The sequence below is a fragment of the Homo sapiens genome, chromosome 1 (genome assembly GCF_000001405.40).
Source record: "Homo sapiens chromosome 1, GRCh38.p14 Primary Assembly".
Taxonomy (NCBI): domain Eukaryota; kingdom Metazoa; phylum Chordata; class Mammalia; order Primates; family Hominidae; genus Homo; species Homo sapiens.
The window spans coordinates 58,848,613-58,868,149 of record NC_000001.11 but is presented as its reverse complement, the minus strand read 5'-3'; the positions used below and the strand labels follow the sequence as shown (position 1 = coordinate 58,868,149).

General features: G+C 42.1%; 2 long non-coding RNA genes across 4 annotated transcripts in view, besides 2 other annotated features; one reads left to right on the top strand and one right to left on the bottom strand.

Moving 5' to 3' along the window:
- Positions 1-19,537, bottom strand: part of JUN-DT (JUN divergent transcript) — a 114,562-nt gene that overhangs the window by 31,563 nt on the left and 63,462 nt on the right. The window lies entirely within an intron of this gene.
- Positions 9,981-10,110: an enhancer, noted in NCBI's record as "active region_1093". NCBI's record gives its function as "activates an Ori minimal core promoter by ATAC-STARR-seq in GM12878 lymphoblastoid cells {active_cell/tissue: GM12878}" and the evidence as "EXISTENCE:reporter gene assay evidence [ECO:0000049][PMID:35858748]".
- On the top strand, positions 12,423-17,191 carry LOC107984961 (uncharacterized). The gene is made up of 2 exons (XR_001738081.2): positions 12,423-12,609; positions 16,748-17,191. It is a non-coding gene; the product is annotated as an uncharacterized LOC107984961 (long non-coding RNA).
- Positions 13,389-13,528: an enhancer, noted in NCBI's record as "active region_1092". NCBI's record gives its function as "activates an Ori minimal core promoter by ATAC-STARR-seq in GM12878 lymphoblastoid cells {active_cell/tissue: GM12878}" and the evidence as "EXISTENCE:reporter gene assay evidence [ECO:0000049][PMID:35858748]".

Sequence of the window (19,537 nt, the reverse complement as noted above, 5' to 3'; positions counted from 1 at the left end):
CCCATGAAATGTCACAGAAAGTTTAAAATAATGAGGATGCAACCTTATTAGTTAGATAATTTTAAAGAGAAAGCAAGATTAGTTAAATATTAGACAAAGCAGATTTCAAAAGGAAAAAGATAACAATAATCACTTTATAATAATAAAATTTGTGATCCCAAGTGAGGACATGTCAGTAATGAACTCATTAAAATTAAAACACTGCAAACAATTTTGAAAAATGGAAAAAAATGAAGATTTCAGATTTTATTTATGCTTTACTTAATTTATTCATTTTAAATAAGAAAATGGAATTAATGATATTTTAACTAAAAAGCATTTTTAAATAAGCCATCCACACCAAAGAAAGAGTGATGGGTAGTAGAAAAGAAACTATAAAGACTAAAGTTAATTATTTTGAAAGCAGGAATAGAGTATATAGTGACTTCACATGTATTAATAAATCTAAAGACTGTTTCTCTGGGGTAAAAATAAATTATCCTTATAAACCTGTGACAAATCTATTCAAGAAAAGGGAAACAAATTAAAAATGCAGGAAAAATATAATACATATAGAAGATACAAATGTCCAAAGAATGTTATACATAGCTATATGGTTATGCTTCTGAAATTTTTTTATTAATTTGGATAATTTCTGGAAAAAAATTAATTAATTGGTTCAACAAGAAATATGCACACACACACACACATACACGCGCAGACACACACACATATCAATAACCACAGCACAATTTAAGAAAATTATCTTCAGGATTACCCTCTCCTTCAGCCTTGCAACCTCCAGGCCTTATATGGTGAATTCTCTAATACTTTAAGGGAAGAGATTACTATGCTGCCTAAAGTGTTCAACAACAGAGAAATATGAAAAGTTATCTCATTTTTTATAAAGCTATCATAAATCCTTATATTAAAATCTGACAGATAATACCAAAAAAGTATTCATAGTTCAGCTTCACATATTAATACGTTTGTGAAAATGCTAAATAAAATGATAGTGATTTGAATTCCACAGTATATTAAAAAGAATAATCCACCATGACTAAGTAGGGTTTATCCCAGGAATCCAGTGATTCTTAATATCATCTTGATGACTACAGACAGGAGAAATACAAACTCGAACAAATAATAATGAAGAACTACTGTTGACAAATTTTGGACATATCAAAAGACTACAATTATTAAAATCACATAATGCCAAATACAAGAAAACACAGGCAGGTGAGTGGAATATAGTACATCCCCAAAATGGGCCCCATTTTACATTTAAATGGAATGTAATAATACATAATAATATATGTAATTATTTATGTAATAATACATAATAATATATGTAATTATATATGTAATAATGTATAACAATGATGACATCACAAATTAATAGAGAAAAGAGAAGAGAGGAGATATGGGTGGGGAGGGGAGGAGAGCAACAGCTGCGTTTAAATATCTTAGGCTCATTGGCAGAAAGAGGGATCCTTCTCTCAGTTTAAACCTCAGAAGCAGCATCCTTCGGAATGGCCAACAGGGATGAAGATGTTTGCTCAATGAGTAGAAAAGCAGAGCAGTCTCCAGAGAATGCAAACAGGGCCCAGGATATAATTTGCGGGAACCAGTGCAAAATCTAACTGTGGCACTCCTGGTTTAAATGATGAACCACTTCAAGATGGCGGCAGCAGGGCATTATACCAAATGCGGGTGTGTGCCTGCACGGTGGCCCTGGCCTGGTCCTGAGTTTCCCATCACAGGAGACAGGAACTGGAGGAAACACTGCTGTGGACATTGTCAAGTGGCATCAAGCATGAGACAGACAAACAGACTAAATACTTTATTCTAAGATAATCAGTGATGACCATTCCCTTTGCTCTCACATTTTCATCAAAATCAAGAGGTAGGACATGGACACACCCTGGACTGCCATTTTGAGACTTGCCTCCTTCTCCATTGAATCACCTAAAACTGTGCCAGTTATTAATATATAGCGCTTGCTCATATATGTCCTGGAAATATAAAACTGTGGTTTGTGTTATGTAACTTTACTGTTTCACAGCATTTCCACACATACTACATTTGACGATGATAGAAAAGCATTATTTTCTTCATTTTACCTGAAAGGGAAGTTTGACCCAGGTAAGTTCTGATGTGACTGAGTCACACAGCTGGTGAATTGGCCAGGTGGGGCTCAAACCCAAGTCTTCCAATCCTAAATCATTCTATTATTTGTTTATCCATCCTTCCATCCATCCTAACTCCTACTCTGTACAACCTCCTTGGTAGGCCCTGGGGACTCCATAGCTCTTGGCCTTAGGAGCTCATAATTTAGTGGGAAAGACTGACACATACCCAAGTTCCACCATCCCATAAGATGAGTAAAACAATGAAGGTGAGTACACAAAACAGTAGCTGCACCGAATGCTGAACTCTATCTAAAGGGGCTAACAGAGCCTTCACAAAGAAAGCAGACACCTAGCAGGCTTTGAAGAGTGAAATTGAGTGCTTCCCATTACACAGCTAAATTGAACCGTCACAAAAAAAGACATAAGCTCCCCTGGGTTCTCAAGGGAATTTTGTTGGCAAAACAGGTCCACACCCAGTTGATTTAGTCCCATTAATGGGAACTTTGTGCCATAGGGAACCATTTGTAGAGACCAATTTCCCTAGCAAGTGATAAAGACCTGGGAACCCAGGTTAGGAAGTAGTCAGGAGCTGAGAATAGCCAGGAACCCAGAGATAGTCCACACCCCAAAAGTATATTCTATGTGTTGGACAAATGTAACACATCTCATTTGGGCTCATCATTAGCAGCAAGGTCAGTGACCAGGATCCTATACATGGTTCAGAGATAGCATTCACATGGAGCATGTTCAGGGTCTGTGCTGGATTGTACCTCTAGCAGGTATTAAGACCAGGATCAGAACATGTGACTTACCTCCTATCCAAGGCTACATTCACTTGCTCCATGAGGAAATAAGATGTCTGCCTAACAGTCAGAGAAATAGGCCTCATCATTCTTGGCTAATTCCCTTCATCTTTGTGGTTCAGTTTACCTCCAGGGCAAACATGACTGATAATGTCTGCTGCCTGCCTATTAATCCTAATAACCCACCTGAGATGTCAGCTGGAAAGCTCTAGCTCCACAACAGATTTTTTCAAATACTTGGCCACCAAGGTGTTCATTGCTATAATGAGTTTACATCAGAGAGAGCAGTGTTAGGAAAATAACAAAGTGGCCATGATAACATTCATCGTATTGTTAAACACAGCATGGTTATGAAGATGGATGATTGCATGCTAGTTTTGGCTCTGCCACTTTCTGGCTATAAGTGGGAGCCACGGGTGACTCAGCCTCAGTATCCTTTTATAGCAAATGAGCATGAGGTTACCTACCTTATAGAGTTGTTATGAGAATGAAACAACATAATAGACAAGAAAATATTTTCATGTTATACAATGCTATAGAAATGTTGGCTTTTATTACTGTTAGCAATAATATTCCATTGTACTCAGAGGAAATTTGTATCCCATTATAATTACAACCCAAATCCTCATTACTTGTGTGACATCCACATTACTTCTTTACATAGGAAACAATCACATTAAGGTAGGATGAATTTTAAAGTAAATTGCTCCAGAACATATAGGCTGATAGGACCTTAGTTGGGACCAGAACCACCCCCTTACCATCACAAATGGACCACATATACACATAGTCAAAGCCTAAATTAGGTTTCACAAGGGAAATATCTTAAGATCTGGGGCAAGTTGTCAACATCTCTTTGTAGCAATTGGTTCCTTAGTTGCCTCCCAAGGAACTGGGATCTAATGGTGGGAACCAAGACATGCCTAAAATACCATAATTTAAGGCATAAAGTATTAAGGCCATTAGCTTGACACAGGTAGAGTGTGAGGGAGGCATAAAAAAGACAAAAATCACCATTATCTGGATAGAAGAATCAAAGAAGCCTTCTGTAAGAATAACTTTTAAACTGGGTTTTGCAATGAACACAGATTACCAGTTTGCTGTGGTAGAAAGAGCATGTACTCTCAGTTCAGCAACTAACCAGTTGTTGACCCTGGTCAAACAACAGCCTCTACCTCTGAGCCTAAGTTTTCTCATCTGTAAGATAGGATAAAGCTACCAACTGGGAAGGATTAATGTTAGGGATAAATTACTAAGCAAACATTTGTTTCAACTGTAGACAAAAGGTTTTCATTTCCACTTAATACTTCTGCCCCTCAGTGAGTTCAACTTATGTTTCTAAAAACTAAAGGTGATAATTCAACCAGAGGGTATTTATGGAACATGCTATATGAGCCCAATAGAGTGCTGAAAGCAATTTGAGTATCATGGACTTGCAGTATTTGTTAAATTCTAAGATGCCTTTAAATGTAAAAAGCACCACTGATTTGATCATTTTTAGGCTTGGGGGAGATAACATCATATGAACATATCACTTATAAGATCCTTATTGATTTCAGAAAAATTAAATTTGAAAAAGTATGTTTTTGAATGTGAAGACATGTGGTCTATGATATAGCCTTTCCTCAAAAAGTAAGCAGTCCAGTTGGCAAAATAAGACTACATGGATGAAAAAGAAACAAACAAACAAAAAAGCCAAGTAAATACACAGCTAAATAATGCAGACAAATTACCAAAGATCTCAGTCCATCTTTCCTTTTTTTTTTAGAGCACATGGAGTTGTGCACAGGGTCTTACTCTTATATTGCTTACAACCCATAACCATAGGCCATGTGTTCAGACATTCTTGACCAAGCCTAAAGATTCCTGTAGACATCTAACATTAGATAGCCTTCAGAATTGCAAGTGCAAGTTCAAGTCAAACCAATTCAATTTTAACATTTCCTAAGCATCTACTCTGGGCACACTCTTGTGCTGAGTGCCGTGGGAAGATCCAATGCCTTGCTTATCCCTACAGTGCCCTCACAGCCCCTGGTAGAGCATACAGCACACAGTCAATGTGACTATTGTTTTCCAAACCTAGCTGAACAGATCCTATTATCCAAGTGAAGTCCAAATTCTTATGCAAATGAAACAGAACCAGTCAATCATTAGAGAATGGTCTGCATCAGTGCTTCTCAAAATGCCTATGGTAAAGGACCAGGTTTTTATTTTCAATCTGTGGCCAACTGATGCTTTTTGTAAAACACAAAATTACATGCTTGGATGCCATGGTGATGCCAAATTGCTATAAAATGTCTCAACATTCATTCTCAACTTCTGTACTTATCTCAGCAGGGACCCATGATGATTTGTAAACTGACACCAGTATGCAGACCTCACTTGGAGGAGCACCAGTCTATATGATTCCCAAAACCTCACTATCTGAAAATCTCAGAATGACTGGGAAAAGCAATTCACAAGTTTCATAAAGCACTAAATAATCATGATGCTAAGAATATTTATTGTTTTTCAAGTGCTTCTTATGGGAAAGACACCATCAATGATTAGAAACTTGTCTAATCCTATATTTTCATTGAGGAGACTGCTTTGAATCGAGGAAAGCAATCAGTGCACCCCTCAGTTCTCTTTGTCCATGGCTTAAATGGAGCAAGCGTGGGTATCTTTAGCAATAGAAAACACGGGGGCTCTAGAAGTCAGGCAGCTGTGGGTTAGTCGCTGTGCTTCTATTTACCATCGATATGAATTAGGGCAAGCAACCCCCATCTCACAAAGCCTTGATTTTCTTATCTGGACATATGGACCTCTGTTACCTGTGATTATTGTTTGAGATGTATGATGGATTGCTATGGTGTCAATGTAGTCATGAGGCAGTCGAGTGGTTTGTCATAGACTCCAATGAGAAATAGCAGCAGAGAGAAACATTCTGATGAGGCTCTCAGAGTAATAAAAGTCCTCAAAGCCTCTCTAATAAAGAACAGCTGAGGGACAAGAGAAGCGTGGCCTGGAAGAGAAGCAATTCAGATGGACAAAAGAGCTGCCTTCATTTTAAAAGAGCTGTTACGTGGGAATGAGCATGGCCTTTTCTGGTCCCAAAGCCAATATGAAAAAATTATAGAGAGAAAGATTTCTGTTCAAAGAAAGAAGTTTCTGGCATCCAGAGTGTTCCAAGGATGGAATGGGCTAGCTGGATTGGAGTGAGCTGCTGCTGGTGCATGAAGCCTGTGTCCTCTTGTCAGGGAAGCCTGTAGTGGGTGACAGTAGCAGGAGATCAAAGATTGGACTAGGTTGTCTCCAGGCATTTTCTGGACCTACCTTGACAACTCTGAAAATCCAAGAAGCAACTTTCTCACTGTGGGAAGAGCCTACTCAGCCTTTTGTTGACTTGGGTATATAAGGTAGTAGAGTTAGGCAGATGTCAATAAGTCAACCAAAACTACTAAAAATGGCAGAGTGAGTGCTGAAAAGTGGCCCTATATCCCTTTTATTTGTCTAGCCTTGTATAGTATGTGAATCATCTTCACACATTGCCTCACCCACAACTCTGGGAGGTTTTACAGATATGAAGCAAAGGCTCAGAGAAGTTCCTAGTTCAGCAAAGAATTCACACCCAGAAAATTAGAGACCCAGGGCTCAAACCAAATAGTCTGATTCTCAATCCCAAGCTCTTCCCACTGCCCTCTGACCCAGCTTCCATTCATCCCTTTCTGAGACTCAGTGTTCCTATCCTAGGTAATCATACCCACCACAACACTTAGGCTGCTTGTGAAGGTCAGAGGTGGAAAGGTATTTGAAAATGCTTTGAACAATTAGAATAATTTCCTTCCTTCCTTCCCTGCCTCCCTCTCTCTTCCTTCCTTCCCTTCTTCCTCCCCCTTCCCTCCTCCCTTCCTCCCTCACTTCTTCCCTCCTTTCCTTCCTTCTCCCTTCCCTCCTTCCTCACCTCCCTTCCTTACTTCTTCCTTCCTTTCTCCTTCCCTCCTTCCTTCCTACCTCGCTTTCTCCCTCCTTTCCTTCCTTCTCCCTTCCCTCCTTCCTCATCTCCTTTCCTTACTTCTTCCTTCCTTTCTCCTTCCCTCCCTTCTTCCCTCTCTCCCTCCCTCTCTTTTTTCCTTTATTCCTTAAATGTTTACTGAACAGATTTAATGTTCCAGGAACTATGACAATTAGCTAGTAGGCCAAGATGAATAATACACAGCCTTCACCTTCAGGGACCTACCAGTCTAGCTGGGGGGTACAGACATGATCAAGAGAAAGTCATAAAGTGTGTCAATAGTGAAAATGTAAATGTGTATGATGAAGATTGTTCAGAGGCAGGGGTGATTAATTCAGGTCGAGGAGTGGAATGGTTAGAGGAGACTTCCCAGAGAAGGTGACATCTGAACTAGGCTTGAAAGGAAGACTTGCAGCTCACCAGGCAGGTGGTGTTGGAAAGGTTTGGGTGGGGAGGGAGAGGCTATTTCAGGAAAAGAAATGAACATTCACTAAGCCATGAAGATTTAGAACAGCATGGTATATTCAGGGGCCTGGAAGTAGAACTGGGGGCGGGGGGTCAGGTAAGCACCAGGAGTAGTGATAGGCGGGACTAGAGAGGTCAGTGGCAGTGGGGAGATTCAATGCTAGCTTGAGGAGCTGTGATTTTCTATCTTGAGTGAAATGAGGAGTTTCTAAAGTGATTCAGTCAGAGGAGAGACATAGTCGGGGTATTTGAAGAGTACTCGGGTATCAGAGTGTAGAATGGATAAGAGGGGAGAGGCTTGTGATTCTCTTTCCTCCTTTTCCATGCCCCAGATGCATTCTCAGCACTTTTCTGCTCTGCTCTGTGCCCAGGAGGCTGGCCCTTGCAGACTGTTTCTTCTGGGCTCCCCTGAACTAGGCTCCGGGTCCAAACAATGGGAAGTACCAACAGGGGGAAAGTGGGTAGACAGTGCATTGTGTGATTTCTCTCCTGCTCTCTCCCTATTGCCACACGGCCTCTCTGGCTATGCCCCACTGGGCAGCCCTTCCTCCACAGTTCCAGTTCTCACTGGGCTTCAATATCTGTTTCTCTCCCTTGTCCCTTTGGTTGTAGAGATAACAGCTTCCAACTGTTGCTAGTCTCTAGGTGCCTCAATATCCCTTGTTTATTCCATTAACCCTTCTCCACCCCTCTAAGCAGTTCCTTCATTAATGTTTCTTCATTTGAATCATGTGAGGTGAATTCTGCTTCCTGCCATTTCCCTATAGGTCATGGTCAAGGTTGAATAAAGGCATAGAGAGAGGCAGAATCATTGCAGTAACCAGAGAGTGGGAGACAGAAGTAGTGGGGGTGAAGAAGAGGCAGCAGAGTGCAGAATCTTTCCAACAGAGAGACAACAGATTTTGATTTCAGCTTCTGCAAGGTTTGCAGGAGAGAGAAGGTCCTGAGAGGTTTCTGACTTGGCAGGACATTCCCCAAAATGGAGAATTCAGAAGAAGCAGGTTCCGGTAGACTGATGAGATTAATTTTGAGCAGCTGAGTTTGAGGTACCTTTGGGCCATCAAGAGAAGATGTCCAGGAGGCAGATGGATTAAAGGATCTGGTGTAAAGATTTAGCCAAACCACCAGCATACAGAGCTAATAGCTAAGGTCCATGGACAACAGAGAAGTGCACTAAACTTGCCATAAGCTCATCTCATTGGTTCTGTATTAATAATTATTGATATGAAAATAAGTAGAGTTATAATGACCCAAGATTTCACAGAAAACTCTATTCAGAAGTGCCTGTTTTGTGCCATGATTAGTTGCCCCCCTCTTAAAGATGTAGGGGTTTGTTTTTCAAATCCATGATTTTCCCTGGTGTTCCATTTAGTCATTCCTATTTTTCACCACCAGATTGTTTGCTGGGGAAAAGAACAAAAACAGCAACAGATGTCTTTGTTTTGGGGTTTTGCAAAACTCCCTGGTTAAGATAACACTTTCAATTAAAGAAATTATATCATCCAAATACCATATGCCTATAAGCCTGCAATTGCAAAAATCACCTGCTTTCTGAAATTATTTGAAGAGTCCCTTTAACCACCACTCAGTAGCTCAGTTGGGCATCCAGTTAGGTCCCTCTCTTCTTTCCTGTGGATTCGGAAAGCTTCAGTTCAGAAAGCTAGTCAAGAGGGGCATCCTCTGATTTGTTCTCAGAGCTTCATAGACACTCACCACTAAGTTCTGAGTCTTCATGTGCACCGCCACCCCCCCACACACACACACCCGTATGTGGGTAGCCTGTGTACTATTCATTGCTCATTAGGACCTGGCATATTTTAGGCACTTCGCAAACAGCTGTGGAATAAATTAACTAACTTCTTCTATCCTTTCTTCCTCTTTCTCTCTTTTTTCTTCTATAGCTTCACATTTCCTGAAAGACTTCTGTGCCACATGGTTGCTAAGCACTGAGAGCACAAAGATAATTAAGCTGATTCCCTGTCCTCAGCACACCCATAGTCTAGTGGGGAGATGGTTAAGTAGAAGGAGAATGCTAATTCCAGGAAGAATAAGAGCTTCTTAAGAGAAAGAACCAGGCTTCATTCCCTTTGTAGTCCCTTTTTGCACAGTGCCAGGAACTCTATAGACATTCAGTAAATGTTTGCTGAATGAAATGTTTGTTGAATGAAGTATGCCTTACCCAGATAAGCAAGCCCTATACTGCAGAAGCACAGGAAAATCATGCTAAAAATCTGAGTGGGAGTGAGCAGAGGAGGATTCATTGAGCAGGTGGTATGTGCCCTGAGAGCTTAAAAGGGCTGGGGGAAGGCAGCAGAGCAGGGCCTGCTGTGCTGGAGGAAGCACTTCCGTCAAAGCACAGAGGTGTAACTGTGCTTAGGAAAACACCATGAACCGTGAGCAATCCAATTTGGCCACTACATCAGGTGAGAGGAGGACATGTGAGCTGAGCCCCAGTGTAGAGGGTCTTCAAGGCCTGCTTTGAAGAGTCTGAGCTTTGTGAGACATTGAGGACACACTGCAGGCTGTGACAAACATGAGGTAGCATCTAGTCCAACTCAAGCCTACTGTGATAGACTCACCCACCCTGTCCTGTATTGTGAACATTAGGTAAGAGTCTGATCTTTCTTATTTGACTACAAGCAATTTCAGATTGGGGATTTGAATTCAATATTTATGGAATATGCAGCTGGATACTTTTTCTGCCCAACTAGATCCACTCTCTGCACTACCCTATCCAGCTCTGTGCCCCTGGAGGCTGACCATGTAGATGATATCAAGGGGCTCCCTTGTCCCCAGTCTCCAGTTGGTTTTGGCCAATGGGTGCCACCAGCAGGAGATCAGAACTGAAAGGAGAGTGAGGTTAGGGTATTTCCTCTCCTGGCTCCTTTTCTGTCAGGTTGCTGTGGGTTAGCTGCATTTCTCTACCAAAGACCACAGCTCTTGAAAGGCTACAGCCCTCTCTATGAGGCTACCTCCTCCTGGTTCCATGACCATGCCTTCCCCTCACCCTTTCAGGCCCGGGGAAGATAACAGTGCCCTTCTGTTGCTAGCCTTCAGATCTAGCAAGATCCTTCATTGCTTTCTCTATGCCTGTAACTCTTTCAATAACTCTTCACCTCAAACTGCCTGGTTTGAGTGTTCTAAGACTTATGCGAGCACCTTGCATATACTAAGTACACTCTAAAGTGCTTTTCATACATTTATTAATGTAATCCTCTCAAAGTATCAGGTAAATATTAGTTTTCCCACTTACAGGTTAAAAAAAATACCTGAAGTTCAAAATTTTTAGATAATTGGTAAAGACCATCTTCTACAAGTTGGAATCCCCCCATTTTAGAGTAGTTCCTAGCACATGACAGCTCCTTGACTGAATGTATGAGTGGACACAATATTGTACATACTAAATACTAACATGAGTGTTAGAGATCACAAGAGCTTTTGAAATTCAGTGGTAGTAGGAGTAGCTTTGGAATCAGAAAAAGCTGAATTAAAATTGTAACTCCACTACTGACCATTTCTCTCAGCCTTAATTCCTTGTGTGGAAATTTGCATGACAATTCCTACTACATAAGGTGGTTGTAAGGATTAAACAAGATAATATTCCAACAATACCCAGGATAGAACAGGCGCTTTGTAAATGGTAGGCTTAATTATACACACTCTAATTAATAGTCACAGCAGTGTTGAAAACCCACATGGACAGATAACCTCAATGAAATATTCTTTTCTTCTCTGCTCTGAATTATTGCTCCAAAACACAAATACATACAAACATACATACAATTCCTCATTAGATAAATTAAGTTGCCAGTGCTTGAGGTTTCTTGTTCATACTGTTCCTGTTTCTTTCACTTGGCCATCTCAAAAGCTTCACGTTGGGCCAGGCACGGTGGATCATGCTTATAATCCAGCACTTTGGGAGGCCAAAGCGGGTGGATCACTTGAGATCAGGAGTTTGAGACCATCCTGGTCAACATGGTGAAACCTGGCCTCCACTAAAAATACAAAAATTAGCTGGGTGTGGTGGCAGCCACCTGTAATCCCAGCTACTCGGGAAGCTGAGGCAGAAGAATCACTTGAACCTGGGAGGTAGAGTGTATTAGTCTGTTTTCACCCTGCTAATAAAGACATACCCGAGACTGGGAAGAAAAAGACATTTAATTGGACTTACAGTTCCACATGGCTGGGGAGGCCTCAGAATCATGGTGGGAGGTAAAGGGCACTTCTTATATGGCAGTGGCAAGAGAAAATGAGGAAGAAGCAAAAGCAGAAATCCCTGATAAACCCATCATATCCATGAGACTTATTCACTATCATGAGAATAGCATGGGAAAGACCAGCTCCCATGATTCAGTTACCTCCCCCTGGGTCCTTCCCACAACATGTGGGAATTCTGGGAGATGCAATTCAAGTTAAGATTTGAATGGGGACACAGCCAAACCATATCATGGAGGTTGCAGTGAGCCAAGATCATACCACTGCACTCCAGACTCCAGCCTGGGCCACAGAGCAAGACTCTATCTCAAAAAAAAAAAAAAAAAAAAAAAAAAGGTTCATGTTGGAGATTGTGCAGGTAGAAGGGATGTTAACAGGAGAAAGAAAGAAGGAAAAAGACATATTTGAAAGCTACCACGTACCGGGCACTTTCATATTCTCTCATATTTCATTTTCACAAGAACACACAACACATAGACAGAATTCCTGTCTATGTGATGAACTTGGTGAAGTTCAGAGATGGTAAGTACCTTGCTCAAGGTCATACAGCTTGTACAGAGTGCAATCAGGATTTGAGCTCAGGTGTTCTAGTTCCCAAGTCATATTCAGCCCTCCCCATGCCTTACTGTGGGCTCTAAGCCACCTCCCGCAGCCAGGTGGATTCCCCCATCTTTCACTTCACTGGATGCTTATGTGTCTTCCTTTTTAGCTCAAACATCTTCAACTGGAAGCAGCCAACCATTCCAAGACACATGATAATTACTCACTTAGGAGTAAGCCACACGTCTTTCCTGCTTTGCTTTGACAGCTCTTCTCTTTTGTTTCCAGGGGAGAAATGGCACATTAACAAAATTCCAATAATGAATATGATGGTGACAAAGCAGAGAGAAAGCACAAACAATAGGAGGAAATGTTGAAAGATTCCCTTTCATCTCCTAACGGCAGTCTGAGGCTGGACATGTCTACTCCTGGGAATAGAATCCAAGGGCAAAAGTCCCTCACGATAAGGAGGCCACATTTTGTAAGTGCATGGTTACTCTTCCTTCCGTTTTTTAAAAATATTTTTCTAACCAGGTCTCCGGAATTGAATATAAACACTGCCAGTGTTGTTTCATCCTTTCCAAACAACATTCCACTCCCCAGCTGCTAACGCCCCTGTTGAGAACTTGAGTGTCTAGATAAATGGGCCCATGCCTTTGAAATCTTGGGAAAAAGAGGTGAGACATAACAAAACACACAAGCTCTGTTCTGATTCTGCTTCCATCTTCAGAATGACTCTGTGAGAGCGATCCTGAGGGGAAAATAGGACGGAAACTCGGATTTGATCTTCACTCACCCCAGAGCCTCAGCTGCGCTCAGAAAATGAGGGAATGAGAAGAAAGTGGAATTGGACAGAAAGCCTTGCTTTTGAATCCTGGCTCCTGCATGTATTAGCAAATGACTCAACACATCTGAGCCTCAGTTTCTTCAGCAATGCAGTGGGGACAATAACATCTACCCCTCAGAGCTGTTATGAGGACTCAAAAGATACTCTGTCCTGTGGTTTGGTACCCAAGCTGGTCTCTTTGGGGCTCAGTCTGGTGCTGGTTGATGGGTGTGGCCACCCCATACCTACTCCTGCAGCCTTTTCAAAGAGAAGGAAGCTTCAGTGTGAGCACTTTGAAGCATCTGCTTACTGATCTGAAGCCTCCTCAAGTTGAGCCCTTGGGATGCACAGCTGCACTCAGAGATGAGGTTTCACAGCTCAGACTACAAAAGCTTCAACAATTCAGCGTGTTCACCACTCTCTTTTTCATTTTTAATTATTGTTTTAAAAAGGGAATTACCACATAGAAGGCAGGGGCAGAGAGGAATGGGGAAGTGAGGAGCCACTGTGAAGACAGGAGCTGGGCAGACCAGTCTGGCTAACGAGGTTGGTTGAGCCTATCTTATCAGAAGATCCTTGTAGAAGGATTGTTGAACAACATAAGGATCAGACAAATAGCAGTATAGCAGCCAGGCAGACAGAAAGGAGCCAGAGCCCCACATAGCCTAAAAAAGAGCAAAAAGCAGTTTATTTGTTTATGTAACAAATTTTTTTTAGTACAAACTACATGCCAGATGCCAAGCTAGATAGAGGTGGTGTATATATCTCTGAGTGAGACTAAAACGACCCCAGTTTTCCTAGAGCTTATATTTTTGTTGACCTGGAATCAAATATTTAATAGTTGTGTACCCTCAAGCATGTCATTCTACCTCATGGAACCTCAGTTTTCTCACCTATAAAATGAGAATACCCACCACCAGGGCTGACACCATAGGTCTTCCTGAAGGGCTTATGACTCTTCGAATATTTATTTAACATTCTTTAGAAGAGAATGTATTGGATGAGGGAAGAGCTAAGAGAGCATGCATGGCAGGTCCAGGAGCTGGAGTTATGCAGGGCACAACCTCACAAGCACGCCTGATGCCCCAGGATGGCAGCATCCCACCTAAGCGCTCCATGTGGCTCAGCAAAAACGAGTCCTGTGATCATCTCAATCCACCCTCCATGGAAGATAGTTTAGCCACTTGCAGGCTTATTCCTCCCCTCAGACAGTTTATCTAACCTTCTTCCAGCCACGTACATTGTTCTGTCTCAGAGCTCTTAAAATATGTCTCCTATTTCCAGTGATACTTAATCCCATTTGAACCCTGGTAGATTGAGTTCCTGTTCAACTGGCCAAACTATACCATAACCCAGCTCGGTTTACTTCCAGGATTTGAAGAGTTAAATGAAAAAGAATATGTAAAGCAGGACCTGGCAGGCAGGACCCACTCAACAGGAGATAGCCCTCATAATCTCCATGACTTTTACCACAAAGCTGTTGGAGAAGTAAATTAGGTGATACAGAGGGAGTGGTATCCAAACAATGCTCTATAGATCCCAGTATCATTATTGTCCATTTTATCAGTGGTAGGAGCAACAGAGGCCCAATCAGCAAACTAGATAGCTAAGGGTCTGAAACCTCAGAACAAACTAAGGAAAGCAGAGTAAGGATGACCAGAAACACCTCATAGTTTGCAACCCCGTGGACAAAGACATGCCTGCTCCTCTGCTCCTGCACAGATTCAAAAGGAAACCCTTTCCCCTCCCCCATTCTCTCCTACCTCCCCAATCCCCATCCCAGCTTCCGCCACCCAGCCTACATTATTTTCTGGGCCCCTTTAATTTGGAGGCTTTTAGGGCCACATCCTGCCATCAATTTGGGGGCTGACTTCAATGAACGTTCTGTGCAGGGCGGGAGAGGGGCAGGATACAGCTTTCTCCTGGCGGGCCCTGATACAATAGGGTTTTCTACTGAGATCAATGGATTAATTGCAAATGCTCCATTTGGGGCCATAAGGAGGTGCATTGTTTTCCCACAGTCGGCTGGCTGTCAGGGCTTAGGCTTGCCAAACTTCATTTTTGAAAAGTCAGGGAAAACAATTTTGTGAAAAAGGGGTAGGGGTGGAGGGGTACAGCACAGTAATTTTGATCATTTCACTAAAGGTCAATAACAATTATAGCGAAAATTCAGAAGGCACATTTGTTCTCTGACTGAGGCCCTGTCTGGAAAATTCCATCCCGAAACAATTTGCTGTCTCTCTTCCAGCCCTCCCCTCCTCTACAAGGCTCTCTCTCCACCAACGCCCCAGCCCACTCCTAACTACCCCATCCTCTGGCTCCTCCCACCACATCAGAAACTCTCTCCCCTGGAAACAGCCTTCTAGGTTGAGAAGGAGAAGCGACCAGGGAATTATCTTCCTTTCCCTCGGGAAGGTGAGATGGGTACAGTGGCATCATTCCTTTCTCCCTGGGGTTGTGGAAGTGTTTACCTGGTGGTGGAAATGGCACGGGCATAGGGGAATTAAAGTCCTACTTCTAATAGTTAATAGCTGATACTTGGGAAAATTCAACTCTCTGAACATCCACAGTGTCATCTGTAAAACGGGAATAGTAATCTGGACCTTGTGGGATTACTGTGCAGATGAAATGAGAAGATTGAGACACCATCCAAACTACAGTAGATGCAGCATAAATGCAGGGCTCAAAACCACCTAAAGCAAGAGGTTCTGATCATGGCATTTCTCTGTGTGGAAACCCCTCATGGCACACTACCTGCACACCATCAAGGCCACATCTGTTGGCCTGACATTCAAAGTCCTCCACTTTCTGCCCTCCTCCTCCCTTTCCAGCCTCATTTCCCACTCCTTCCTCCCTCCCTCCCTTTTCTGTGCATAACCTGTCCTTTCTCTATCCTAGCCACTGTTCTAACTCTGAATTCCGAAATGCACATGTTGATATCCTACCCATCCTAAGACTGTCAACTTCTCCAAAAAGTTAAATTCTTTCAGCTGCGATGAATTATCTCCTCTATACTTAGCACCTTGCTTCTTCCATGCCTTCAAAACTCCATATTCTACTTAGCTATAGTTCTCTCAATCCCTCACTGATTCATCAAACACTTAGAATTGTAATTCAGAGCCCAGCCCTGGGGTCATGAGTGTCTGAATTTGAAACTCAGCTCTACTTCTTGCTTGCTGTAGGATCTTGGCCTTTCTGTACCTCAGTTTCCCCATTTGTAAAATGGGAATAATAACTGTAACTACCTCAGAGGCAGTTAATATGAGAAAATACGTGTAAAATCCTTCAAAGAATGCTTGGTACATGGTAAGTGCTCAGTAAATATTGGATAGTATTATTGTTAAATACCTAGTCTGTTTCAGAGCCTAAGAATACAGTGATGGATAAGACAGGCTTTTCTTCAACAAATATTTCTTAAGTGGCTTCTATATGTCAGGGATTTCTGCTACTTCTAGGGGGAAGAAGAAAGGAGTGGAGATAGATAATAAACAGAAAAAAATAGATAAACGAGAAAAATATCATCTTGTGAAAAGTGCTACATTGCCATTTACAGTAGATTTAAGTGATGGAGCATAGGTGAAGGGCTTTTTTAGGCAGAAGGCTGAGAAAGCCTCCTCGAGGAGGTGGCATTTAAGCTGCATGAACTAACCCTTAGCTCCCACTTCCTGTAAAGGTGAGCAAGAGCTCCTACAAGGGAGTGGCATAGGTGCTGGCTAGGGATGTAGGGGTCGTGATTGAATACAATTAGGTAATGTCTTCACAGGATGGTAAACACCCTTGTATTCTCTTGAAGGAGCTGAAACGTATGAACACCACAGCTTCAGGGCCAGGCAAAGTTGGGTTTGTGTCCCAGCAGTACAACTCTCCAGACTTTGAGCCTCACTCTCCTCTTCTATACAATGGAGCCAATGACACCTCTTTCCTGTGTATTAGAAACACCACCTAAGAAGATGTAGATAAAGTGACTGCAAGGTAAGAATTCCATAAATATTAACTCCCCTCCCCACCATATCAGAGAACCCTAAAGTTGAGAACTGCATTTCTGTACATATCACTATATTAAAAACCTAAAGGGGAAAAAAATGGACTATTCTAGTGACTACTTGTTCATCTCCCACTCAAATGCCAAAAAATGTTTTTTCAAGGGAAACAAAATAGTAGGAAAAGGAAGGATGCTTTAAAAAAAAAAAAAAAAGTCTCTCTTCTCCCTTGCCCTAAAAAAAAAAAAAAATGGTTTCTAGAACATCAAAAGCTCCTCAAAGGATCAACAATATTTTTTGATGATGGAAGTATGAATAATCAAACATATGGATTGCATTTCTTTAAATTATGCAGTACCTAAAAACCAGGAGGGAAAAGAGGGTGCTGGTAAAAATGTTTTTCACATTTTATTAAAACCTCAAGTTCTGAGAAATACTTTTATGACTATTACACACACACACACACACACACACACACACATATATTTTTCTCTATCCAACTTTCAAGAAAAAATAAATTATCACAATGAGCACTTTCTTCCTGCTCAAAGTGTTGTTCTGGCCAGTTCTAATTCTTCAGCACCAGCTTCATTCATAGAAATTAGGGGACCATAAAATGGTTTGGCTCCCAAGCTCTGCTAACATAGCAGTTGTGTGACCTTATGCAAGTCACTTAAATTCTCCAAGCTTGGGCTTTCTCTATTGTAAATAGGAAGCAAAGTCCAGACTTCACAAATGGTGGTGAGAATCAAATAGAATGAGACCCTATTTGAACAAACCTTGTAAATTGCAATGTCAAGTTCATGTGAGAGATGGAAATGGCTCCAGGAAGCTATCTGTGCCTGGACAGGGATACCAGCAATGGTTAAAGAGGCCAAGTGCCCACCTTCAAACTCCTGCTCTGCCTATTATAAGTTGTGTGTTTCTGGGCAGATAACTAAGCCACTCTATGCCCATTTACTTATTTCCAAAATGGGATATTGCTAACAATAATGGTATCTACATCACACAGTGGTAATGAGGATTAAATAAGTAAATATTTATAAAGTAGTTAGGATAGTGTTGGTGTTTGTTCTGAAGGAGAGAACACGAGAAGAAGGAAGGAAGGAAGGAAGAGGGAGAGGAAGAAGGGATGGAGGAAATAAACATCCCACTAGAGATCTCCTGTGCTGGAAATTCACCATTTAGTCCTTGGTATTAAGTATTATCTTTTCTAAGAGTCCTTTTTGAAAATGCAAATGTTCATAAAAGGCATGGCATAGCAATTCAAATTTAATGTGCATTTATTGAGCAAGTACTGTATGCAAGGCATTGTGTTGTGTCATATAATCCTCTGACCCCTTCGAGACTGGGAGTGGGGAAGGTGACACATGGAATCAAGAGGAAAAGGGGAGACAGAGGGAGAGAAAGAGACAGAAGGGCCATTTCCCCTACAGTGGATTTGGCATTGAAAGGACTTGGGTCCATATGTCGGCTCTGCCAGTCACCAACTCCATGATCTTGGACAAGCATTCACCACCTCAAGTTTTACCTTTTAAAAAATCAGGATAATGACAATTAGGTTGCTGTGGTGACAAAATGAGATCATGTGTGTACACATCTAATTTTTCTCCTCCCTACTCCCCATTTTTGTGACATGCCTCCTGTGACTTCTATGCACTGGATGGAAAGGAATTGCTAATGGCTGCAGCTAGAGGACTAAAGTCAGAACTCTGTGAAGAGGACATCAGTTTGCCACTTTCTCTGTTCAGTAAAAAGGCAATTTTTGTGGAGACCATGCTCCACTAACTCATAGGAAAGCATTTTCTCCCTGTGACATCTCCAGTCGATTTCAGCCGGCAGTAACCAAGTGACTAACTCTTCCTCCAGGGGCAAAGAGCCAGACCTGGTGTTTGACTTCTCCCTAGCCTCCCAAGTGCAGAGATGATTCCTACCGGATACTGGTCCTTGGAGGAAATGGGAGAGAAATTCAGCTTTGGCTTTAGCAATTCAACTGATAAAGGAGGCAGGGAAAAAGCTAAGTGAGACAGAGAGACTACAAAGCCCTCTTCCTGGATCCTGGCAGATGCCAAAGGAAGAATCTGCGAGTGAGTAATTCTGCAGCCTGGAGCCCAAAGGCTGCAGCCAGAGGTCTGTGCCAAGAAGGCAGCGGGTGCAGGAGAGGTGGGCGGCTCCTGGGCTGGCCTTAACCGGATGGGGGACAGCTCAGTGTGAGTCAGAGGCTGAGCCTCTGCTCCAAGGGCCTCCTGCAGGCCACATCCATTCAGATAGGCCTCCCACGAAGGAAGCTTTCCCCTGCATAGACTCAGGTGGCCTTTATTGTGATAGTGTGTCATCAGTAGGCATTGCATGCAGATGATAGAAAATTCCTGCGGTCCAAGCACAAGTCTGCACAAAAACAGAACAGATAGTCAAGGACGCAGGTATCAGGTCTGTGCCCAGGTTGTGGGCTGCCGAACTCCCATGCTGAAAATGACAACAGCTATCATTTATTGAGAGCTCACCTGGTCCCATCACTGTGCAAAGTGCAAGCCAGCTCCAAAGCCCTTATGTGCAACTACTAAACATTTTGGTCTCCAGAGTGTACAGTAGAGCTAGGAGAA